The 24,524-nt window shown below is 53.7% G+C and overlaps 1 protein-coding gene across 11 annotated transcripts in view, besides 1 other annotated feature; it reads left to right on the top strand.

Moving 5' to 3' along the window:
- SARDH (sarcosine dehydrogenase) overlaps positions 1,792-24,524 on the top strand; it is an 80,538-nt gene continuing 57,805 nt past the window's right edge. For 6 of the 11 annotated variants that reach the window (XR_001746217.2, XR_001746216.2, XR_001746213.2 and 3 more), the window contains exons 1-8: positions 1,792-2,054; positions 7,544-7,904; positions 9,146-9,324; positions 10,263-10,442; positions 11,560-11,683; positions 11,882-11,982; positions 22,705-22,809; positions 24,292-24,421. Coding sequence is in view for 7 of the 11 variants with exons in the window: in XM_017014367.2 (XP_016869856.1) it covers positions 7,574-7,904; positions 9,146-9,324; positions 10,263-10,442; positions 11,560-11,683; positions 11,882-11,982; positions 22,705-22,809; positions 24,292-24,421 (1,150 nt within the window). In the remaining 4 variants the exon portion in view is untranslated. Of the gene's footprint in view, positions 2,055-3,394; positions 3,494-7,525; positions 7,905-9,145; positions 9,325-10,262; positions 10,443-11,559; positions 11,684-11,881; positions 11,983-22,704; positions 22,810-24,291; positions 24,422-24,524 lie in introns of those variants that run through there. The other 5 variants (XM_047422896.1, NM_001134707.2, XM_047422897.1 and 2 more) reach the window with 3 other exon arrangements.
- Positions 13,796-14,306: an enhancer, noted in NCBI's record as "H3K4me1 hESC enhancer chr9:136592563-136593073 (GRCh37/hg19 assembly coordinates)". NCBI's record gives its function as "activates a minimal SCP1, AML or CMV promoter by ChIP-STARR-seq in naive H9 embryonic stem cells {active_cell/tissue: H9 hESC(naive)}" and the evidence as "EXISTENCE:reporter gene assay evidence [ECO:0000049][PMID:30033119]".

Here is a 24,524-nt window from a genome sequence, read left to right as displayed (position 1 = left end):
GAGCAATTTCCACCTGCCTCTGTGCATCGGTGTCAGGCAGATGGGGGCAGCCACCTGCTTCTCAGGAAGGACCACCCTTACCCTGGGAGGGCATCTCTTCTACTTTGACAGAGGATAGAAAACATTCTGTCTTCATGAAATCACGGGGATATTCAGTGGTAGTTTTCTTTTTCAGGTTCTTATTGAAAAAATAAAATCTTGGCAGTGTAAATTCAGCCCTTGAAAATTGTTCTGGAAATTTCCCTGGCCCATGAATCACCTGGGTCTGGCACCTGTTGGCTGTGTTCTCCCTCAGTTTTCCCATCTCCACGATGGGTAGCAGTTGTTGCTGTCTCATTTGAGATGACACGTGTGAAGCCTTTAGCACGCTGCCTGACTCCCAGGAGGCCCTCAGAGGTGACTGGGGCACTGCCTTCCTCCTGGTCAGTGGTGATGTTGGCTCTTATAGTTTGGGTTGGGATGCTGTTGCTCATGTCCTCTTTCACAGGGCTGCACGCAGAGCTCGGTGGAGGAGCCTCCTCCCCCAACGCCTCCGCTTCTTCCTCCCTGGACTTCTGCCCCGTCAGAGGGCAGCCTGCAGGCACCTCTCTCTGTCCTGGAAGCCTGGCCAGCAAGTCGGGGCCAAGGGCTGGTGGGGGCCTGCAGAGAGGGCCAGCCTGAGCCAGAGGAAGAGTCTTGGGGTTGGCTCAGGTATGTCCAGGCCATGAGGGCAGAGGAACAAGTCTACCACAGTCCCCACTGGAGCGGTGGCGGGGAGGCTGGGGAGGGCAGTGAACCTGGAGGCAGCCCCTCACTCCTGAATGTAGAGTCAACTGTGACTTTGATTTGCACCACAGTTTTCTTCAGAGTGCACTAAACATAGAGTCATACTCATTTTACGAGACCAGCATTACCCTGATACCAAAGCCAGATAACATTACAAGAAAGAAAATTATAGACCGATATCCTTGATGAACATAGATGCAACAATCCTCTCAAAATATTAGCAAACCAGCTGGGCGCGGTGGCTCACACCTGTAATCCTAACGCTTTGGGAGGACGAGGTGGGGGGATCACTTAAGGTCAGGAGTTCGAAACCAGCTTGGCCATTCATGGTCAAACCCCGTCTCTACTAAAAATACAAAAAATTAGCTGGGCACGGTGGTGCGTGCCTGTAATCCCAGCTACTTGGGAGGCTGAGGGAGGAGAATCGCTTGAACCGGGAAGGCGGAGGTTGCAGTGAGCCGAGATCGTGCCACCGCACTCCAGCATGGGCGACAGAGCAAGACTCCGTCTAAAAAAAAAAAAAATTAGCAAACCAAATTCAACAGCACATTAAAAAGATCATGCACCGTGATCAAGTAGATTTTATCCCTGGTGGGGTGACTTCTTTGAGGTGGCAGCCCCTCTGTTGGTGTGATCTAGAGCAGGACTGAAGGAAATTTACTCAGGGAAATTTACAAGGCTTCTGTGAAACTGACATGGCAGGGCTTCCAGCCTCCTGTTCCAAGATGGGAAAACTAAGTCTCAGCAAAGGGAGAGGTGATAAGACCAGCCCGAGATCGTACAGGACCCTGTCTTGGCCTCCTTGTCCGGAGCCTGGCCTCTCCAGAGCTGTGACTACTAGTCCCTGGGGGGAGACAGCCTTTCCACCTCTCCCAGACCGGAGCTGGGTGCTAACAGGCCCTGCCGGATGAAAATCCTACGATACTAACAGACAGCTAACAGGCCGGGACCGGCCCCCAGCCACCACCCCTTGTCCAAAGTGCAGGTTCATTGTGCTGCCCTCTTGGCTTGTAACAGTTTTGCAACAGTTGCAACTTGTCTTTGAGTGCAGGGACAGGAGAAGTGTGGGCTACCCGGCCACTGCCCTGGAGCTGTGGTGACTGCTGCGTTTTTCTCCCATGCACTTGCACGTCCAGGACTCCTGGGAGAACTTGGGCCACACTCCTTCCTTGCCCTCTTGAGCTCATTCGTCACCCTGTTGGGTGAGCACAGCCCTAGCTCAGGCCACTGGGCAAGCCACACCATCCAAAGAGGAGGTCCTCTGCCCCAGGACCCCCACACCACCCCAGGTAAGCCTCAAACTGGCGGGGCCAGCTTTCCACTGGGCAGCCAGGGGCCTAAGCCAGTGGGCCCTTTGCCTTTGAGGCAGGGACTGAGAATGGTGTCAGCACGTGGTCAGGCCCAGAGCCCAGGCCCCCTCCTCTAAGAGGTCCTCCTGGATTCCCTGCTGGAAGGAAGCCAGCCTTGTGGTGTCGTGTCTCTCCCTGGATCTGTCTGCTTCGTGGACCCTGAGCCCCTCGAGGGCAGGGGCTGGGTCTTAGATGTCACTATAGGTTTCCCAGCAGTGCTTTGTACACATTGGGCATTCAGTAAATGTAGAGGATAGACAAGCTGGCAACAAGACAGTCGGACATCCTCGGTGTGAATAAGAACACAATGATTTGATTGGTATTAATTACAGCAGTTTACTATACGATCGCTTCCGGTATTGGCAGCTGGCATCATTACAATATTAACAGACTGCCATTGAAATGCCCCGTCTTTGATCCAGCGCGAGGAGGAGATGTGACTTTCCATCAGCACCTGTTCTGATTCTTTGGGCATCCAGAGGTGTATTCTTTCTGGGTTTCCTCCACACCCCTCCTCTGGGTGTCTACTTCTGTCTGGGAAGGGGTAACTTGCCCCAGCCCAGAGTCAGGCTGCAGCATCCGGTCTGCCTCCTCCACCAGCTTGCTGTGTGGCCCCCTCCCTGGGCACTGCTGTCCCCAACAGTCAATGGAGGCTGGAATCCCTGCCCTGGGGGCTACGTGCTGTGCAGTAGCCAGTGGCTTGGGGGCATCTCCCCAAACACCAGAGGGGTCTGGGAGCTCGGGAAAGCAGGACGCAGACAGACCAGGAGACCCTGTCCCTGGGAAGCTGACCCAGGCCTTCTCACTCGCCTCTGAAGGCAGTGAGCATCCTGTCCCTGGGGGTGAGCAAACTGGGGCATGTGCTGAGATGACCTCACCAAAGGAGCCTCCCTGCAGTGGACGGGCCCCTGGCCCAAGCTGCTGCTGACCCCACCTTTCCTGCCCACCCTGCCTGTGCATAGCTCCTTCTGGGCGCGGGGAGCTCGGGCGGCTCCAGCAGGCAGGTGGTGCCTGGGTCTACTGCAGCAACCCTGAGGCGCCTGTTTCAGAGACGAGGAAATGAGGGTTGGAGCGGAAGGGTGACTGCCAGGTCGCCTACGGGTAATGGGGCATGGGGTTCACAACCCTGCTCTGCCGCCCTCAGAGGGAGCTGCCCACAGGGCTGGCCTAGAAGCCCCAACTAAGCTGGCCTAGAAGCCGCAGTGGTGGGCGGTACGCTCCGCCCAGATCCTGGGCGGAGACATGGGGCTGGCAGCGAGGGTGGGGGGCGGGGGAGGCCTGGAGTTCCGGCCAGGCCACTGCTTGGGAAGCAAGAAGGTGAAGGCACCTCTGCTGGGCCAAGCACTCTTAGGGCCGAGGGGCACTGCAGCTGACAAGAGGTACTTGGAGGTACACCCCCAGGGAGGGACGAGGCTGGGGCCTCCCCTATGTGGGCGGGGCTGGGCCTGGTCAGATCTGGCTGGGATCTCCCTCTGCCTCTGGCTGCAGGGACCATCCAGCTGCATGAGCAGGACCAGGGTTCACCATATGGGCAGCTGCCTCCCCGCCCCCTGCCGCTCCTCCCCACAAGTCTGCCTACCCTCACCAGGCGAAGGTGCCAGGCGCTCTCCTCGCTTGACCCCCACCACCCCCTGAGCCTGGGAGGAGGAGGGCGTTCCTGGGTCCTCTGCTTTGCAGTGAGGTTAAGTTGTTGCTCGAGGCCCCAGTCCTGTGACAAAACCCCCACCCATCTGTCTGATCCCAAGCCCAGGGCTGTCCTCAGCCCTCACTCCTGGGAAGCTGACTCAGGTACGAGACAGAGTTGGAGGGGGCAAGAGAGTGGGTTAATGTGGAGGCAGCTGTTTCCAGGGAGGTGGCAGGCAGGAGGGGCTCTGGGCTGTCCCCGCTGGGGCCGCTGCCAGCCCCCAGTCTGACAGTCAGAAGAGCCCTGACTGACCAGGCAGGTGGTGAAGGGGCACGTGGCAGCCTCCGGCGCCAGCAGCTGTCGCTTTTTGGGCACAGTCGGAAGGAGGAGGGAGGCTTTTGCCCACAGCTGACCAGGTGTGCTGTGCCATGCGGCACCGTGGTGGGTGGTGGGTGGTGGGGTGGGGGTGTTCAGCCTTGGAGGGCCTTCCTCGGTGCCACTCAAGCTGGCTTTCCCCTGGTGGGGCACCACTTTTGGGGGCTCCTGGAAGACTGTGGACCTTCAAGGACTGAAGGTATGTACAGACACATGCAGGAGGCATGCCTCCTTGTCCGGGGCCACCTCTGCAGGCAGGAGCCAGGCGGGCTGACACACTGAGGGCTGAGAGGCTGAGGACAAGCTCCAACACCTCCTCACTCCCCTACGCCGCTGCAATCAGACTCCCTGCTCCCTCCCTTGGGATGGGGCACTGGGGCAGGAGATGGGGGGCAGCCCTGACCAGCCTGAGAGCTGGGATCCCCCTCACATCCCCCACTGTGCCTAGGACAGGGTTCTGGGCTTCGTCAGGGCTTGGGCAGTGCCCACAGTTCAGGTGGGACAGAGTGTGGCAGTGGGTCCTGAGTCCCCCTGGGATGGTCAGAAGAGGGGGCAGGAGAGAGTCCCTGGCACTGCCACATGGAGGCCCTATGACCCTGGTCACCTCAGGGAGCCTCTCCGTGTGTCAGACTCCCCCGCTGTGAAGTAGAGACATTATCATGTGTCTATAGGTGTTCAATGAGAGTGAACGAACGTGCATAGCTATGGTCCACTCTTGAAAAAGGATGCTGACTTTCTTAGATAATTATATCAGTCATTCATACTGACGTAGGTGGCACAGCACTTCACATCTTGGATCACAGCCACATCCCTTTCACTTTTCCTGCAGATCCCAGAAAAGGGCAGTGGAGGTCCACACTGGGCAGGACACCACCCCACCCTTCCATTGAGGGCTGTTGTGAGACCTCCGTTCTTAACTTCTTAGTTTAAAGAATTTAGGCTGGGCACAGTGGCTCATGCCTGTAATCCCAGCACTTTGGGAGGCCGAGGCAGGCGGATCACCTGAGGTCAGGAGTTCGAGACCAGCCTGGCCAACATGGTGAAACCCTGTCTCTACTAAAGATACAAAAATTAGCCAGGCATGGTGGCATGCACCTATAATCCCAGCTACTCGAGAGGCTGAGGTGGGAGAATCGCTTGAACCCAGGAGGCAGAGGTTGCAGTGAGCCAAGATCATGCCACTGCACTCCAGCCTGGAAGACAGAGTGGGACTCTTTCTCAAAACAAACAAACAAACAAACAACAACAACAACAACAAAACAGAATTTAAACATGAGACACACAGCAAAAGAGCTGCAACATAGAGCAATTTATTGCAAAAGAAAAAGAACATTTTGAAAGTTAGGTGCGGATGCACCCTGGGAGAGAGAGGATTCCAGGCGGGGGGCTGCTCCTGAGTGTGAGGCAGCATTGATGATTGTTGGAGAAACCCCCTTTCAGGGAGTCTTCCACAATTATTCATAAGTGGGTGGAAAGAGAGGAAGAGGTTACTAGGCAGCATGTGATGGCTGGTCCTCTGGGTGCACATGCGGTAGCTGTACATGTTTGTTCATACGTCACATGTCTCTTTCGCATCTTTTTTTTTTTTTTTTTGAGACGGAGTTTCACTCTTGTTGCCCAGGCTGGAGTGCAATGGCACAATCTCGGCTTACTGCAGCCTCCACCTCCCGGGTTTAAGCAAGTCTCCTGTCTCAGCCTCCAGAGTAGCTGGGATTACAGGCATGCACCACCACCCCCGGCTAATGTATTTTTAGTAGAGATGGGGTTTCTCCATGTTGGTCAGGCTGGTCTCAAACTCCTGACCTCAGGTGATCCGCCTGCCTCGGCCTCCCCAAGTGCTGGGATTACAGGCATGAGCCACAGAGCCCGGCCTCATTAGCATCTTAAAATCTCCACCGAGGGGTGTGTTTTTTTACTATTAGAATGAGCAAAGGGTCAGTTTGAGGACAGGTAAAATCAATGTGCACATGCCCTCTCCAGGGGAAAGGCCCTACTGCAGACAGCTTTGCTTGAACGAGCTCAGTTAACACGAGCTCAGTTACAGTGCAAACGTGGAGGCTGATTGTGTGGATTGCAGTCACCACGGTTGCTGCGTCCCCAGGACATGGTGACTCCTTTGACTGCCTGTCCTGCCTCGCCTGCACCCAAGGAGACATCCGTCTTCATCAGCGCCTTCTCTCCTGAGAAGGAGGGCTCCCTCTTGCATTCTCATTGTTATTGGATTTTTCTGGCTGGGCAGATCTGGGAGGGTTTCCTGAAGGAGGAGGGAGTCGGGGTGGGTCAGCTGGGAAGGAGCAGAGGGGAGGAAGGCCTGTTAACCCGGCTTCTGAGCCCCTACTCTGCAATCCCAGGTGGCCCCAAGGGAGCAGAGCCGGGACACCACATCCTTCATCAGCTTCCGCCTTAGTCCCACCGAGCTTTGGGGCTGATGAGGGGGCAACCCCTCTTGTCTGGGTTTGGGAGGGGCCTGCCCAGGAGGAGGTGCTGGCTCCAGGCTTGGGGGTTGGGTGCCCCGTCTCGAGGCTGCCTGCCGATACCCTGCGGCCACTGCTGTAGCATCCACGATGCCTCTCCCTCCTCCTGGCTCTCTGTCTGGGAGCGCAAGTGTCTCCATCACTCAACACAACCCCCTCCCTGCCCTGCTGTGCCACTACCACCGCCTTCTCTGGGCACTCCTGCCTCCCAGGTCCCATCCCCACCCCGCAGGACCTGGGGTCTGCCCCAGCACAGACCTGTGGGGCAGCAGGGCTGCTTGGCCCCTCAGGAGCATCTTGAGCTCCGAAAGGGCTCTCAAGGCTGGCGGGACGGCCCCCGCCCAGCCCCAGCCTCTCGCTGTCTGTGATCTGGGGGTGAGTGTCCCTGAGACCGGAGCCCCTCCTTTCCAGCTATTGGTCCTCTGTCCTCAGTCCCCTCCCCATCCTCCCTGCCCGGCCTCACGGGGCAGCCCACTTTCCTCAGGTCTCACTTTGGATCTCTGCCAGCCACGCCACCCACTCTTCTCTACCTCCCCTTGTGGCCCCGACCCCCACTTCTACCCAGAGCTTGGCGCTCCCTGTCTTTTCTGTGGGCTGGCAGAGACCTATCCTCACCAAGGTTGCTCCCGGGCACTGACAGAGCCTGCTGCATACCAGGCCCTTAATACATACACACAGAATGAATGAATGAATGAATGAGTGAATGAATGAATGAATGAGTGAATGAATGAGTGAATGAATGAATGAATGAGTGAATGAATGAGTGAATGAATGAATGAGTGAATGAATGAATGAGTGAATGAATGAATGAATGAGTGAATGAATGAATGCCATGGGGAAGTGGCAAGAGGAAGGCCCTGGGAGGTAACACCATAGGGCCCTTATTTCCCTGGGTACTCAGCACAGCCCCCAGCGTGTCCCCTCTGCACCCCACCCAGCTCTGATTCTCTCCCCAGCTCCCTGTTTCGCTGAGGCCTGGAGCCCCCATGGCCTCACTGAGCCGAGCCCTACGTGTGGCTGCTGCCCACCCTCGCCAGAGCCCTACCCGGGGCATGGGGCCATGCAACCTGTCCAGCGCAGCTGGCCCCACAGCCGAGAAGAGTGTGCCATATCAGCGGACCCTGAAGGAGGGACAGGGCACCTCGGTGGTGGCCCAAGGCCCAAGCCGGCCCCTGCCCAGCACGGCCAACGTGGTGGTCATTGGTGGAGGCAGCTTGGGCTGCCAGACCCTGTACCACCTGGCCAAGCTGGGCATGAGTGGGGCGGTGCTGCTGGAGCGGGAGCGGCTGACCTCCGGGACCACCTGGCACACGGCAGGTAGGGACCGGGGGCCAGGTAGGGGCAGGGAAGGATAGGACATAGCGAGGGGCCACAGCCCATTGCTAGCTGGGACAGTTCTTGGTTCACAACAACCAGCCTGGGGAAGAGACCCTGGGGAAGGGTGCATGGCCAGTTTGCAGGTGGGCGGAGCTGGGGGCACTGCTTGCCCTCCCAGTCGCTGAAGAGCTGTGGTGGGAGGAGGGAGCAGATGCTGCTTGTGTGGCCTGGAGAGTGAAGCTGGGGCCAGAGCTGGAAACTCCAGGCAGCTGTCCAGAGGGCAGAAGCCCCTTTCCTGGACAGAGCCACCAGGACTGAGGGCATTCCAGGGAGTGGAGAAGGACGGACGGGGACCATTGAGGGTGAAGCAGACCTGTGTCCTCCATGAGCACCAGAGGCTTCTACAGTTCTCATTCTCCTAACTAACCAGGGGGCATATATTAAGCACCTATGGTGTGCATGTCCCAGGACAGCCAACCTTCTGCCTTCACCATTTCAGCCATGGGTGTCCTGGCAAACTGGATCTCCTGACCTGCAGTGTTGGCCAGTTCCTGTGGTGTGAACACTCCCACCCTGGCCAATAGCAAAAGCCACCAGTGTGAGGTCACTGACTGTGGAGTTGGGAAGAGGTTTATCCCTGGGCTCCTGAGAGCTGATGCGAGCCGGCTCCCACAAGCCACTGCTCCAACTCTTGCTCTTGCCTTCTCACTGGCCCCCTAGCTGGGCTGTCATAGCCTCTTCCCTGACGTTTCGCCAGCCACACCCCTGGCCTGCCACCTCTCACATTCAGCTGCTGGAGGGCATCCTTTGTTGGGGAGAGTGCAGATTTAAGCTTCATTCAGTAGTGGGTTGGTGTCTCGGCGCCCCCTCCACTCACCTGCTCTGTGATCTTGGCCACAGAACTGTTGGTGCCACTTGAACTTGATCTATAAGAGAATCACGCCCTCCTCATAGGGCATGACAGGCTTAGCACGGGGCTTGGCACACAGTAGGTGCTCCAAAAATGGGGGCCTTTGCTATGTCACTCTCTGAGCTGCCCAAGGGCGGGACCTCCCTCACATTCATCTTGGTCCAGTTATTTTCTGCTCAACAACCTCTCCAGGCCCCCCAGGTCCTGCAGAGAAAGACCTTGCAGAGAAAGACACCCATGGTTGAATATCAGGGTATCCCCTGATATTCGTCTGGGGGAAGGAGGTGCAGTCCACTCCCTGGGGAGTGATGGCACCCACCCTCCCGGGCAGGCCTGCTGTGGCAGCTGCGGCCCAGTGACGTGGAGGTGGAGCTTCTGGCCCACACTCGGCGGGTGGTGAGCCGGGAGCTGGAGGAGGAGACGGGACTACACACGGGCTGGATCCAGAATGGGGGCCTCTTCATCGCGTCCAACCGGCAGCGCCTGGACGAGTACAAGAGGCTCATGTCGGTGTGTGCTCCCCTGCGGGGGGCAAGGAGGGGGGCTTGGGTGGGTGGGTGCACTCCCTGGGGGGTCATATTGGTGGGTGCACCCCCTGTGGGGGGGTAGGGTGGGCTCCCTGTGAGGGTGGAGGTACGCTGGGGGTTCATGTCCGTGTGCGCATCCCCTGCGGGGGGCTGGGGTGGGGGGCTCGTGTGGATGAGTCTGCTTCCTGTGGGGTCGGGAGTGGGGCTCATGTCGGTGGGCACCCTTCTGCCGCGAGAGAAGGGGACACGCCACAGGGAAGGAGCCCCGGCAGGTGACAGATCTGGGTTCCAGCCCTTGCGCTGCCCCTTGCTGGCTGTGCCACCTGGAGAAAGCGACTTTGCCAGGCTTCATTCAGAATTCCCAGACAGAGAATCTGATTGGCCCAGCTTCTCCCTGTCCCAGTGGTCCACGCCTGAGGACACTGATTGGCTGTTCTTGGGCCAATCAAATGTGGGGGCGTGGTCTATCTGACAGTCTGAAACAGGATCTTGGCCTCTCTTGACAGCTGGTCTGACTGGGAAACCTCTCAGGCCCAAAGTATTAGACCTGTGGGGTTATTTATCTTATATAATAGACACTTTGTGCCAGGCACTGGTCTAAGTTCTTTGTCAATGACATACACTATTCTCACCCCCACTTCACCTGAGTGAGCCTGAAGCGACTTTGCCCCAGGTTGGTCACACAGCTGGCGAGGGTCGGATTGGCACAGGCGGCCTGGCCCCGGAGCCTGCCTCAGTGCCCTGCTCCTTAACTCTTATGCTGAAGCGGATTCAAGGGACAGGCTCCGGGGGCGTGGGGACCGGCTAAGGCTTCTGGGAGAAAGTGAGGCTGGGGTTTGCGGTGGATGCCCAGTTGGGGAGGGGAGTGGCCCAGGGGTCTGCTCCCCACGGACTCAGTTAACCTCCCCTGGGTCCCCCTAGCTGGGCAAGGCGTATGGTGTGGAATCCCATGTGCTGAGCCCGGCAGAGACCAAGACTCTGTACCCGCTGATGAATGTGGACGACCTCTACGGGACCCTGTATGTGCCGCACGACGGTACCATGGACCCCGCTGGCACCTGTACCACCCTCGCCAGGGCAGCTTCTGCCCGAGGAGCACAGGTACTGATGGCCGCCTGGCTCTGGGTCCCCTGTTCCCAGCCCACTCCTCCTGCCTTAGAACCCTGAGAGCAGAAGGGAAGAGAACAAGAGCCATTCTCTGACTGCTGTGTGACTTTGGGCCAGTGAGGACCTCTCTGAGCCTTCTGGTCCACTCCTGCCAAGGGGAGGCTATGCCTTCGTTCTGTTCACAGACATCAGGTCGTGCCGTGGGTGCACCCATTCCTCTGCTGCACAAGCAAATCGTATCAAAAGCCCTTCTTATAATTTGTATCTGTGTTTGTCTCAACTCCGCACATCATTGTAGAACAATTTTTTTGTTTGTTTGTTTGAGACAGTATCTCGCTCTGTCGCCCAGGCTGTAGTGCAGTGGCATGATCACTGCTCACTGCAAGCTCTGCCTCCCGGGTTCATGCCATTCTCCTGCCTCAGCCTCCTGAGTAGCTGGGACTACAGGCACCCGCCACCACTCCCGTCTAATTTTTTGTATTTTTAGTAGAGACAGGGTTTCACTGTGTTAGCCAGGATGGTCTTGATCTCCTGACCTCGTGATCCACCGGCCTCGGCCTCCCAAAGTCCTGGGATTACAGGCGTAAACCACCACCCCCGGCCTGTAGAACAATTTTAAGAAGACAAATAAGCAAAAAAGAAGTCAAGATCACCCAGCAGTAACTAGTATTGACATTTTAGTATGTTTTACTCCAAATATTTTTCTATGAAAATATATATGTATGCAAAATAGAACCAAGCTGTTGTTATTTTGTGATTTTTTTTTTTTTACCAAGCAGTAGACTGCAAACATCTTTCTGTTAATCAAATATCTTGCTTTTTTTTTTTAAAAAAAAGTCAGCTACTTTTTCACGTTATGAAAAGAGGGTTCCCCCCACAAGTCAAGTGAAAGAACTTGCCCAACTTTCAAGTTCTCCAAGTCAAGGCATGGGTGGGTCTAGTTTTCTGGCGCTGTGGTCATCCGGTTTCCCTGACAGTGTCGCAGGGGACCTGCTGCTGGCAGAAATAGTGTCCCCAGCTCCCCTCTGGGAGGAGGGGTTGGTTGGAGTGGGGTGGGAAGCACCCCCGGGGAGTCCCGTGGGATTTTAGAAGCAGTTCCTCTCAATTCCAGGTCATTGAGAACTGCCCAGTGACCGGCATTCGTGTGTGGACGGATGATTTTGGGGTGCGGCGGGTCGCGGGTGTGGAGACTCAGCATGGTTCCATCCAGACACCCTGCGTGGTCAACTGTGCAGGTGCGAGTGGCATTTCTCCTGACTCCTGTGTGGCCATGCTGGCTGCTCCCTAAACCTGCTCCCACCTCTGCAGGGCTTCTTTCTGGGGTGGGGAGCCCCTGCTAGGGCAGACAGGTCTGCAGAGGCAGCCTGTGCACACCTGAGAGGCAGCTCCCACCAGGTGTCAGCAGAGCTGAGCTGTCTGTGCTCTGCCCGCAGGAGTGTGGGCAAGTGCTGTGGGCCGGATGGCTGGAGTCAAGGTCCCGCTGGTGGCCATGCACCATGCCTATGTCGTCACCGAGCGCATCGAGGGGATTCAGGTAGGTGGACAGCCCCGGGTTCTGTGTCAGTCTGTGGGGGGCACAGAGACCTGGCTCTGAATCCCAGCTTGAACCCAGGTGGTGTGACCCTTGTGGGTCCCCTCACTGCCCCAAGCCTCAGTCACCTCATCTGTGAAATGGGGATTGTAACATGGGGTATTTCCGGGTGGTATGAGGATTAAACTAGGTAGCACAGGCGTATCCCTGTTGGGGCTGACCCCCTTGTTCCTCAGGACCTGGCCTCTCTTTGATGCCCAGAACACAGTCCAGCCTGTCCTGCGTGGTGCAGGCAGCCTAGCTTTTTGCCATGTTCTGTGCCCAGGAGTTTCGGGGAAGACCCGAATGTTTGCATGCTCTCAGTGTGCCTGGGGTGCCTGTCTCAGAGGGTGCTGGTTCCTGGCATGAATAACCTCCCTGAGAGCCTTCTGCCAAGGGAGGTTGGGGGCCTGGGTTCACCTCCTGGCACCTGGGGCTGGGTGCCTCCTGCCCTCTCTTCTCTCCTGTCCTCAACTCCTCCCTCCAGGGATGGTGGCTGGGAGCTTCCTGCCACTTTGTTACTGACCCCCCTCTTTCCATCCGTTCATCATGCAACCCTCCCTTACTCATTCCTCTCTCTGTCCAGCCCTCCATCTCTCCATCCGTCTCTCCATCCATCTACTCCCGTATCTATCCATGCCTTCTCCCATTTATTCCTTCATCCCTCCACCCATCCCCCTTCCCTTCATCCATTCCTCCCTCCACTCTTTCCCTCCCTCTATTCATCTTGCCATCTCGCCATCCATTCTTCCGTCCTCCATCTCTCCATCTATCTATTCATCTATTTATCCACATGTTCATCTGTCCATCCCTTCTTTCATATATCCTTCCATCCACCCACCCACCTAAACTTCTACCCATCAATCCCTCCCTCCCTCCCTCTAGCCACTCATCTCTCCCTCTGCCCTTCCTTCAGCATCCACCCACATATTAATCCAACCATTCACATTCCATTGAACCCTCTCTGCATCAGACATTGATGGGTGAGCTTGGTGTTTCAGGCCCTATTCTAGAAGCTGTGGCCATAACACAGACAGACACCTAGTTCTTGCTGGGTAGAGCTGGGGGGAGGTACAGACAAGTACATGTGCAATTCCAGAACATGCTGATAAGGGCTCTGATGGGGTCTCAGGGGCTATAGGAATTCCCAGCCCTAGTGGACCAGGGGAGGCTCCCTGGAGGAGGCAGCTGCATCTAGGTGAGGCTCTTGAGGGTGGCATGGTGGACAAGGAGCGTGCACAGAGCATGGCCGTTCAGAGAGCCAGGGCCAGAGGCTGTGGGGCAGGGTCAGTGTGAGAACAGACTGCCCTTGTTTAGGGTCAGGGCCAGTGAGAGGGAAGCCTGGGCCCCTGAGCTGGGAGCCTCGTCCCTGGGGGCTGCCCATTGCCACCCTGTGCCAGCCTGGCTTCCCTATGGTCACCGGGGAGGTACCAGGCTTGGCTGCTTCGTAGACCAGGGTAGTGAAGCGGGTGGCGAAATGGGGCCGGAACCTGGGTCCCAGTGCGCTGCTGCCTCTGACTCCTGTGCGCTGGGCAAGCCACGCCCCACTGGACACAAGACCTCTTGTTCATAGAATGAGCCTCTCACTGCAGGTGGCTGGTGCCATGTGCCGGGTTAGGGACTAAGAGTAGTCACACGGTGGGTGTCGGAGCTGAGTGCTGAGGCCTCCTCCCTGGCTCCGGGTCCCTGGGGAGAGCCTCCTCCCCTAGGTGGCCGCCAGGGGTCACGCTCAGGTCTCAGTGGGTTCTGGGAGGGCGGGCAGAGCTGTGTCCTGGGGCGTCAGGGAGGGTGGCCACAGAATGTCCACCGAGCCCAGGACTGTGGCTCCATCCTCCATCCCTAATTCCTCCCAAGGCCTGCCTTTGAGGTGCCTTTCCAGGGAAGAAGCAAGGCAGAGTTGGCCTAGGTCCCTGCAGCTGCCCCCTCCTGTGTATGTCAAGATTCAAGCGAAGCTAGGGGGTGTTACTTACAAAGCCAGTCCAGATCCCAGCGTGCCTCTGGTACCGGAGCACAGGAAAAGGGCCATCAGCCCCAGCAGCTCTGAGACCTGGTAGGAGAAAAGTGGAGATCTGGGGCTTCGCACAAAGCCCCTCATGTTCCTCTGACACCTGGCCATGTGCAGGTGTCTGGAAGTTGTCCCTTCCAGAGGCTGCAGCTAGGCAGTTGGTGTGAATCTGAGGAAGGAGCCAGGCCGCTGGCCCTGACCTGCCCACCTGCTGTGGTCTGACCCTTGGATGGGCCACAGAACAAGCCAGGGGGCCCTCTCCTGGGCGCATGGCACCTGTGCAGCCCATTTCTGTCTGCTCAGGAAGCTCCCTGGGCGTGGCAGCCTCGTGCAGCAGGACGCTGTCTACCCTGATCAGACACAGCCACACACATTGGGGCCTGGGGGCTCCAGCTGGCAGGTGAGGGCTCAGGTCTCACGTGTGGTTCATCTTTCTTCTTGGGTGGCTGGAGGGCTGTGTGGCCCCAAGGACCTCCCTTTTCTGAGGATCTGTCCCAGGCCTGGGTCCTAGAGAGCTCTGCCCACAGCTTCCTTTGTGGCTAGGGCTCATCTCTTCCCTCTCTGAGCTATCATTAAAGCAGGTGGCTCGGGCGCTGTTAGGGGGTTTCACAGTCGTGCTCTGGCGTACTTTTGCAGTGGCAAGGAGCGGCTGCTCCATCCGTGGGCAGAGCTGTGGGTAAGAGCCTGGGTGCTGGGTTTAAACACTGACTCCTCCATTACCCAGGCTGGCCAAGTCTGTCACCGCTCTGGTTCCCTTTCCTGCAAAATGGGTCATAACCATCCCTACTGCCTCAGGCTGTGCTGCAGGAAGGACAGAGTGATGCAGCTGGGAGTGGTGCCCGGCATACAGCAGGTGCTCATGAGGTGGTAGCTGTGTGATGACAAGGACAAGGACAGAGGGTTGTGAAGTCGTCACCAGCTGGCGCTTCGGAGGAAGAGAACACGGAGGGCAGGAGCAATCAGGCAGGGATCAGATGGAAGAAAGAGGCAGATGGAAGGCATGGGCTGAGGTCAGGAGGCAGGGAGTCAGTGGCACCAGGGCCAGACTGGGGACAGCCAGAGCAGGAGGCTGCTGCCTGGAGAGAAAGGCCAGGGCTCCACTGGACGCTGATGCTGAACTGGGCACTCCGCTGGGTGCTCAGAGGCAGCAGGATCTGTGCAAGGGGCAGGTAAGTCCAGACATGGATCCTGCTGGGACAAACATCAGGGGCTTCCCTGGCCACCAGGTGTCCCCACTGTCCTGCTCTATGGAACTCTGGGGCTGGCTTTGTTTTTAGAGTAGTAGTGCTAGCAGAGGTAAGGATATAACTACTACTACTACTACTACTATTATTATTATTATTATTATTATTATTTGAGACAGGGTCTCACTCTGTTTCCCAGGCTGGAGTGCAGTGGCATGATCATAGCTCACTGCAGCCTTGACCTCCTGGGCTCAAGCGATCCTCCCACCTCCACCTCCCGAGTAGCTGGGACTACAGGCATGTGCCACCACTCCTGGCTAATTTTTGTATTTTTATAGAGATGGGGTTTTGCTATGCTGCCCAGGCTGGTCTCAAACTGCTCAAGCGATCCTCCTGCCTCAGACTCCTAAAGTCCTGGGATTACAGGTGTGAGCCACCTTGCCCGGCTGTGATTATTTTTAAACAGTGCTCAGTTACTAGGAACTTCTATGTGCCACCTGACAACGATCCCCTGGTGCAGATATTCTCATTCCAATGAACAGGACTCCTGGGATCCTGGCGGAGAGGGAGGAAGCATCTGCCAGAATGTCCCTTCTGGTCTCTGCACATCCCCTTTCCTGCTCCCAGAGACAGGACAGGGGTCGTATCTCCCTGTGCTCATCTCCAGTTCTGGGGCAGGTGACAGAGGGATTGAGAGAAGGCTGTTCCTCGGGTACAGAGGAGTCCACACGCCATGCCTGCTTGCTTTCTAAACGGTCTTGTTTGGTTTGGCTTGTTTATTGGTTAAATCAGTGGTTCCTCTCTGCAATATTATGATGATGTAAACACTGCTTTTTTGTTTGTTTGTTTTGTTTTGTTTTTTTTGAGACAGAGTTTCACTTTGTTGCCCACACTGGAGTACAGTGGCACAGTGTCAGCTCACTGCAACCTCCGCCTCCCGGGTTCAAGCAATTCTCGTGCCTCAGCCTCCCATGTAGCTGGGATTAAATGTGCCCGTCACCACACCCGGCTGATTTTTTTTTGTATTTTAGTAGAGACGGAGTTTCACCATGTTGCCAAGGCTGGTCTCGAACTCCTGAGCTCAGGCAATCCACCCATCTCGGACTTCCAAAGTGCTAGGATTACAGGCGTGAGCCACCATGCTTAGCTGATTATGTAAACATTGTTAATACCTGAGCAAGTAGTGTCCAACTTTTTGTGTTTCTTGGAGTTATTAACAGTTTTTGTCCCAGCTGCTCAGTTTCTTTTGTAACTGTTATGTGTGTGTGTGTAACATTATCTTCATGCCCCAAAACCCATACCCGTTATCAATCACTCCCCATTTCCCACCCTGTCCCCAGACTTAGGCAATCCCAAATCTGATTTCTGCCTCGATGGAGTTTCCTATTCTGGACGTTTAGTATAAATGGAATCACATGATGTCTGGCTTCTTTTTACGGTTTTGTCCGTGTAGTACATGTATCAGTATTTCATTCTTTTTTGCAGCTGAATAATACTCCATTGTATGGATACAATGCACTTTATCCGTTCACCCACTGGTGGACATTTGGTGTTTCTCATTTCTGGTTATTTTGAATAGTGCTGCTGTGAACATCCATATGCATGTTTTTGTGGGGACCTATGTTGTTATTTCTCTTGAGTTTAAACAAGTTGAGCACCCCAAATCCGAAAATCCAAAATGCTCCAAAATCCAACACTTTTTGAGCACTAACATGATGCTCAAATGAAATGCTCACTGGAGTATTCTGGATTTTGATTTTTGGTTTGGGGATGCTCAACAGGTAAGTATAATGCAAACATCCAAAATCAAAAAAAAAATTAAAAATGTGAAACACTGCTGGTCCCAAGCATTTCAGATAAGGAATACTCAGTCTATACACTGGAGTGGAATTACTGAGTCATATGGTAACTCTATTTAACATTTCAACGAACTGTCGGACTATTTTCCAAAGAAGCTGCACCATTTTACATTCCCACCAGTGAGGTATACGGAGGGGTTCCAGCTCCCCTCCATCCTCACCAAGTCTTGTTATTTTTTGTCTTTTTTTATGCCGGTCATCCTAGAAGGTGTGAGGTGGTGTCTCACCGTGGGTTTGATTTGCATCTCCCTGATGACATGATGTGGGGCATCTCTTCATGTGCTTACTGACTATTTGTGTATCTTCTTTGGAGAAATGGTTACTCAGACACTTTGCCCATTTAAAAATAGGGTTGCTTATCTTTTTATTGAGTTGTAGGAGTTCCTTAAATATTCTGGATACAGGTCCTTTGTTACATATATGATTTATGAACATTTTCTTCCATTCAGTGATTGAAACTTCTATTCAGTGGTTGTCTTTTCCCTTTCTTTTTTTCCCCCAGAATCCAGAAGTCTTTACATAGCCTTTTCGCTTTTTTATGGTATGGTTTGTAGCACAAGTTTTAAATTTTAATAACGTCCAATTCATCTCTTTTTTTCCTCTTTTGTCATTTGTGCTCTTGGTGTCATATTTAAGAAGACATTTCCCAACCCAAGACTATAAAGATTTACTTCTAATATTTTCTTCTGAGGCTTTTATAGTTTTAGCTCTTATACTTATGCCTGTAATCCATCTCAAGTTAAATTTTGTGCATGGTGTGAGGTAGGGGTCCAACTGCATTCTTTTGCATGTGGCTATCCAGTTGGCCCAGCAACATTTTTTACAAAGTCTGCTTCCCCCAAGGAATTGTCTTAGCACCCTTGCTGAAAATCAATTGACTCTGAAGAAGAAGGTTTATTTATTTTATTTTATTTTTTTGAGACAGCGTCTCGCTCTTTTGCCCAGGCTGGAGTGCAGTGGTGTGATCTCTGCTCACTGCAAGCTCTGCCTCCTGGGTTCATGCCATTCTCCTGCCTCAGCCTCCCGAGTAGCTGGGACTACAGGTGCCTGCTACCACGCCTGGCTAATTTTTTGTATTTTTTAGTAGAGACAGGGTTTCACCACGTTAGCAAGGATGGTCTCGATCTCCTGACCTTGTGATCCACCCGCCTTGGCCTCCCAAAGTGCTGGGATTACAGGCGTGAGCCACCATGCCTGGCAGAAGAAGGTTTATTTCTCGACTCTCAATTCTAATCCATTGATCTGTAGGTCTATCCTTACTTAGTACCTCACTGTCTTGATTATGTAGCTTTGCAGTAAGTTTGGTATCAAGAAGTGTGAATCCTCCAACTTTGTTTTTCCTTTTCAAAATTGTTTTGGGTATTCTTGGTCCCTTGCATCTCTGTATGAACTTTAGGGTCAGCTATTTAATTTCTTCAAAGAAACTAGCTGAGATTCTGACAGGCATTGTGTTGAAGCTATGGATCAATTTGGGGTGTGTTGTCAGCTTAACAAAAATAAGTCTTTCATTTCATGAACGTGAGATGTCCTTCTATTTATTTAGGTCTTCTTTAATTTCTTTCGAAAGTATTTTCTAGTTTTTAGAGTACAAGTTTTGCAATTCTTTTGTCAAATTTGTTCCTAAGCATATTTATTATTTTTGATGATATTGTAAATGAAATTATTTCTTAACTTCCTTTTCAGATTATTCAATGCTAGAGTATAGAAATATATTAGTTTTTTGGCTGAGCCCAGTGGCTCATGCCTATAATCCCAGCACTTTGGGAAGCTGAGGTGGGTGGATTGCTTGAGGTCAGGAGTTCAAGACCAGCCTGGCCAACATGGTGAAACCCTGTCTCTACTAAAAACACAAAAATTAGTCAGGCATGGTCCCAGCTACTCGGTAGGCTGAGGCAGGAGAATCACTTGAACCCAGGAGGTGCAGGTTGCAGTGAGTTGAGATGGCACCACTGCACTCTAGCCTGGGCGATAGAGCAGGACTCTGTCAGAAAGAAAGAGAGAAAGAGAGAGAGAGAGAGAGAGAGAGAGAGAGAGAGAGCGCTAGTAGTTTTTTAGTGGTTTCCTTAGGATTTTGTATATACAAGACCTTGTTATCTGCAAATAGGAATATTTTTACTTCTTCTTTTTCAATCTGGGTGCCTTTTATTACTTTTGCTGCCTAATTGCTGCCCTGGCTAAAACCTCCAATGTAATGTTGGGTAGAAGGGGTAAGAATGGATATCTTTCTCTAATTCCTGATCTTGGGGGGAAATCAGCCATCCTTCTTCCTTGAAGTATCACATTCCATGTGGGTTTTTGTAGATACCCTTCAGCACTTTGAGGAAGTTCCCTTCTTCCAAGTTTGTTAAGTGTTTGTTGAGGCTTTAAAAAAAAAAATCATTAAAGATGTTGGATTCTGTCAAATGCTTCTCATGCATCTACTGGGATGATTACGTGGTTTTTGTCCTGTACTTTGTTGATGTGGGGTATTCTATTGATTGGTTTTCATACATTATACCAAACTTGCCTTCCTAGGATAAATTCCAGTTGGCCATGGTGTTTTGTTTTGTTTTGTTTTGTGTTTTTGAGACAGAGTGAGACTCTGTTGCCCAGGCTGGAGTGCAGTGGTGTGATCTTGGCTTACTGCAACCTTCGCTTCCTGGGTTCAAGCAAATTCTCCTGCCTCCACTCCTGAGTAGCTGGGATTACAGGCATGTGCCACGACACCCAGCTGATTTTTGTATTTTTAGTAGAGTTGGGGTTTCACCATGTTGCCAAGGCTGGTCTCGAACTCCTGACCTCAAATGACCCTCCCGCCTTGGCCTCCCAAAGTGCTGGGATTACAGGCATGAGCCACCACGTCCAGTCTGGCCATGGTGTATCATCTCTCTTATATATTGCTGGATTCAGTTTGCTATTGTTTTGTTGGGGGTATTTGCATGTGTATATATAACTGTCACTATTTTTCCCCAGTTGTGTCAAGGGATCTGTCAAACATATTGATACTATTGATACTATTTTCTGAATACGCACACACATCAGATAAACCACCTAACGCCCCCAAGTCCCATTTCCCTCCCCTGGAGGACTTCCTGCTGCCTTCAGATCTTCCGCTCCCTTTTGGACTGACCGCTGCATGGTCTAAGCTGTCACTCCAGGGCCTTCTTCACGCCTCCCCGCTGGAGCCATGGCTTTCACTCTTTCTGGGTTTATTTTCTTCCTTTTGTCACAGCGTGTTCTCTGGCTGTTTACTGCAAAGGAGTACGAGAGAAGTATATGTTTTGTGTCCATGAATGTCTGAAAAAGCTTTTATTCTTTGCTTACACTCGATTGATGGCTTGACAGGATCTAGAATTCTGTGTTGAAAATCATCCATTAGACGTTTGAAGAGTTTGCTCCATGTCTTCCAGCCTCCAGCGATGCAGTCCCCTGTTGATGGCCCTCCTGGCCATCCGGTGTTGTGATGTTTCCCACGGCGTGGCCTTGGTGCAGGCCTCTGTCCAGACTCAGGGCTTGGTGGGCACTCTTGGGCCCTTCCATATGAATGCGTGATTTTCAATCGGAGGACTCTTCTTGGGCTGTTGCTTGGACATTTTTCTCGACTCCATTTTTCTCTGTCTTCTCTTTCTGGAACCGCTGTAAAATGGATGTTGAACTTTCAAGACGGACCTTCTGATATTCTTATTTTTTTTCCACTCCTGATTTCTGTTTTGTTGTCTTTTTCTTTTAGCCTAATCGCTGGATGATGGCCCCAGCCTTATCTGGCCCTTCCATTGAATTTTAAATTTTGACTATCATATCTCATTTAAAGACCTCTTTCTTCATCTTAGATTCCTTTCTCATAGCACTGTCTGTCACTCTGATACAGTTTGGCTGTGTCCCCACCCAAAGCTCACCTTGAATCGTAATAATCCCCATGTGTCAAGGGTGGGGCCAGGTGGAGATAATTGAATCATGGGGTGGTTTCCCCCATACTGTTCTCATGGTAGGGAATAAGTCTCAGGAGATCTGATGGTTTTATAAAGGGAGTTCCCCTGCACATGCTCTCTCTCTCTTTCCTGCTGCCATGTAAGACATGCCTTTGCTCCTCATTTGCCTTCCACCATGATTGTGAGGCCTCCCCAGCCATGTGGAACTGTGAGTCCATTAAACCTCTTTCCTGTATAAATTACCCAGTCTTGGGTATGTCTTTATTAGCAGCGTGAGAACACACTAATACACCATCTTCTTGTATTCCTGATGTTCTTGTTGTGGTTTGTGGTTATTTATTTATGAGACAGAGTTTCACTCTTGTTGCCCAGGCTGGAGTGCAATGGTGCAATCTTGGCTCACTGCAACCTTCGCCTCCCAGGTTCAAGCCATTCTCCTGTCTCAGACTCCTGAGTAGCTGGGATTACAGCTGCCCACCACCACGCCCGGTTAATTTTTTGTATTTTTAGTAGAGATGGGGTTTCACCATGTTGGCCAGGCTGATTTTGAACTCCTGACCTCAGGTGATTCACCCATGTCGGCCTCCCAAAGTGCTGGGATTACAGGTGTGAGCCACAGTGCCTGGCCTGTGGTTTTGTTTTATTTATTTATTTATTTATTTTGAGACGGAGTCTTGCTCTGTCACCCAGGCTGGAGTGCAGTGGCACGATCTCGGCTCACTGCAAGCACCACGTTCTGGGTTCACGCATTCTCCTGCCTCAGCCTCCCGAATAGCTGGGACTACAGGCGCCCGCCACCACGCCCAGCTAATTTTTTGTATTTTTAGTAGAGACGAGGTTTCACCATATTAGTCAGGATGGTCTTGATTTCCTGACCTCGTGATCTGCCTGCCTTGGCCTCCCAAAGCACTGGGATTACAGGTGTGAGCCACCGTGCCTGGCCTGTGGTTTTGTTTTTAGGAGAGAGTGAGCAGCAGTGTGATTGGAGGCTTGGAGGGGAGGACTGGAGAGCCTCTCAGGAAGGGTGGGCGGCAAGCCTTTCGCTTTTAGAGAGACCCTGGTGTCAACATCTCAAGCCTTCCCTGGGCCTCTCAGTGTCTCACAGAAGAGTCTCCAATCTGCTCCTGGGGTGGGGGGGTGGGGGGATGGCAGTCCACTCTCCCCACTTCTGGAGCCTCTCAGGACCCACCTCTCCAGAGGAAGATCCTTCCATACATGAGCAAGCGCATCACCCCCTGAAGAGGGACCTGGGGTGGCTCTGAAGATTCAAGAGGAGGCAGGAGGGGCACACTGGCTTGCCTTGCTCAGTCTCCCTCTCCTCCAGCCCCAGCTAAGTCTCACCCCTCCTCCATCCACTCTGCGTCCTCCAGGGTTGGTTGGAATCTCCCATCCTCTACTGCTGCCTCTGCCTGTTCTCTCATCTTTGTCGGTTATATGTTTTGCTTCCCTCCCTTCCTCCCTTGCTCTCTTCCTCGATCCATTCCTTCTTCCTTCTTCCCCTTTTGCTGTTATTTTATGGGATTTGGGGAAGGAGAGGCTTGAATGGCAGTGACCCATTCACTGTGTGTAACTTGAGGCCCCGTGTCCACTCTGTCCTCGGGGTCCTACAACGAGAAGGACCATCTCGAGCCCGTGACCCTGGGTGGAGGTGCTGGCCCACCACGGGGCATGGGGAACCAAGTCCCCACCCAGTTCTGGATGATGCCAAGGCCTCTCTCTCTGCCTTCCAGAACATGCCCAATGTCCGTGATCATGATGCCTCTGTCTACCTCCGCCTCCAAGGGGATGCCTTGTCTGTGGGTGGCTATGAGGCCAACCCCATCTTTTGGGAGGAGGTAAGATGCCAGGGCCCTGGGATAATGGGAGGGAGTTGGGGCTGCATCTCAGCATGGAGAGGGCCTCTTTCAGGAAGTCCATCCTCCTGAAGCTCCTCAGAGGCACACCTGAGAAGTGGCCGGTCCCCTGACCCCACCAAGCTCAAAGCCATCTTGCTCTTACCCTGACGGTCCTGGCAGGCAGTCAAATACAGACCCAGGGCAGCTGGAGGGCTTTGCCTCAAAACATCCACAGAGAAGGTCTGCGCAGTGTGGAGTGATGACCTCAGAAGGGCATGAGAGCACACAAGTCCTACGTCCTTCAGCAAATGACACTGCCCTCCCAACCAGCTGCTGCAGCGGCATTTCCCCTGGCCTGGGCTGTTTCCCGGGCAGCTTCTGGGGTTAGGGCAGCCCTGCAGCCCTGTTCTATGTGTATATGCATTTAGTCCACACATGGAACGACTGAGTGGCTACTTTGGGCTAAAAACTGCTTTAATTTCTGGAGAAAGAGGGAAACTAAGATAAAAGTCCCTGACTCTGGGTGCCTATATTTTGGTGGAGAGACATACAATAAACAAACAAATGGCTGGGCACGGTGGCTCACACCTGTAATCCCAGCACTTTGGGAGGCTGAGGTGGGCGGACCACCTGAGGTCAGGAATTTGAGGCCAGCCTGGCCAACATGGTGAAATCCCAACTCTACTAAAAATACAAAAATTAGCCAGGTGTGGTGGCGGGCACCTGTAATCCCAGCTACTTGGGAGGCTGAGGCAGGAGAATCACTTGAACCCGGGAGATGGAGGTGGCAGTGAGCCGAGATCGCACCACTTTACTCCAGCCTGGGTGACAGAGTGAGACTGTTACAAACAAACAAACAAACAAATGAACAAGGAATGAAATTCTGGAAGATGATCGCGCACTGAATAAAATTAGCAGGTTAAGGATCAGCCTAGAGAGACTGGAGCAGAAGGATATCCTTTAGATGGGTGGTCAGGGCAGGGTTTTTCAGGGAGGGGACATCCAAGCAGAGCCCTGCACCGCGACAACAAACCAGCGTGCCAGGTCTGGGTGAAGAACTGCCCCATTGAGGGGTGAAGGCCTTGAGCTCACACAAGCTTGCTCTTCCCAAAGAGCTGCAGGAAGGTCAGGGTGGCGGGCCCAGTGGTAGAGGTAGGCAGGCTGGCACATGCCATACAGGGCTTTGGGGCCATCGTGAGCTGCAGGGGGCCAGAGGAGGCTTGTGAGTAGGGAAGGGGCATGGTGGGATCTAGGGGAGTGGGTGGAGGCCTGGGCTGGGGTGGGGAGGGGGAGCAGACAGACCTTGCTGATGGGTTGGTGGGTGGGGGAGACAAACGGCTGGGACGTGTGGGTGACCACCAGCCCTCTAATGCATCTGATTCAGCAGAGGCTGGCCTGGCAGCCATCACAAGGCAGGTTTGGCATGGGGATGCATGGCCTTCTTGGGGACAACGGAGATGTTCCCCTGCCCTGCCTTGGCAGGTGTCAGACAAGTTTGCCTTCGGCCTCTTTGACCTGGACTGGGAGGTGTTCACCCAGCACATTGAAGGCGCCATCAACAGGGTCCCCGTGCTGGAGAAGACAGGAATCAAGTCCACGGTCTGCGGCCCTGGTGAGTGACAGCCTCGGAGCTGGGGTGGGCGTCCATGGGTCCTTTGGTCTGATGACTGTTAGTAGTGATGCCCCGTGAGACCAGCCTGTGTCACACAGGGGAC

The sequence above is a fragment of the Homo sapiens genome, chromosome 9, assembly GCF_000001405.40.
Source record: "Homo sapiens chromosome 9, GRCh38.p14 Primary Assembly".
NCBI lineage: Eukaryota > Metazoa > Chordata > Mammalia > Primates > Hominidae > Homo > Homo sapiens.
This window is presented reverse-complemented; position numbering and strand designations above follow the sequence as displayed.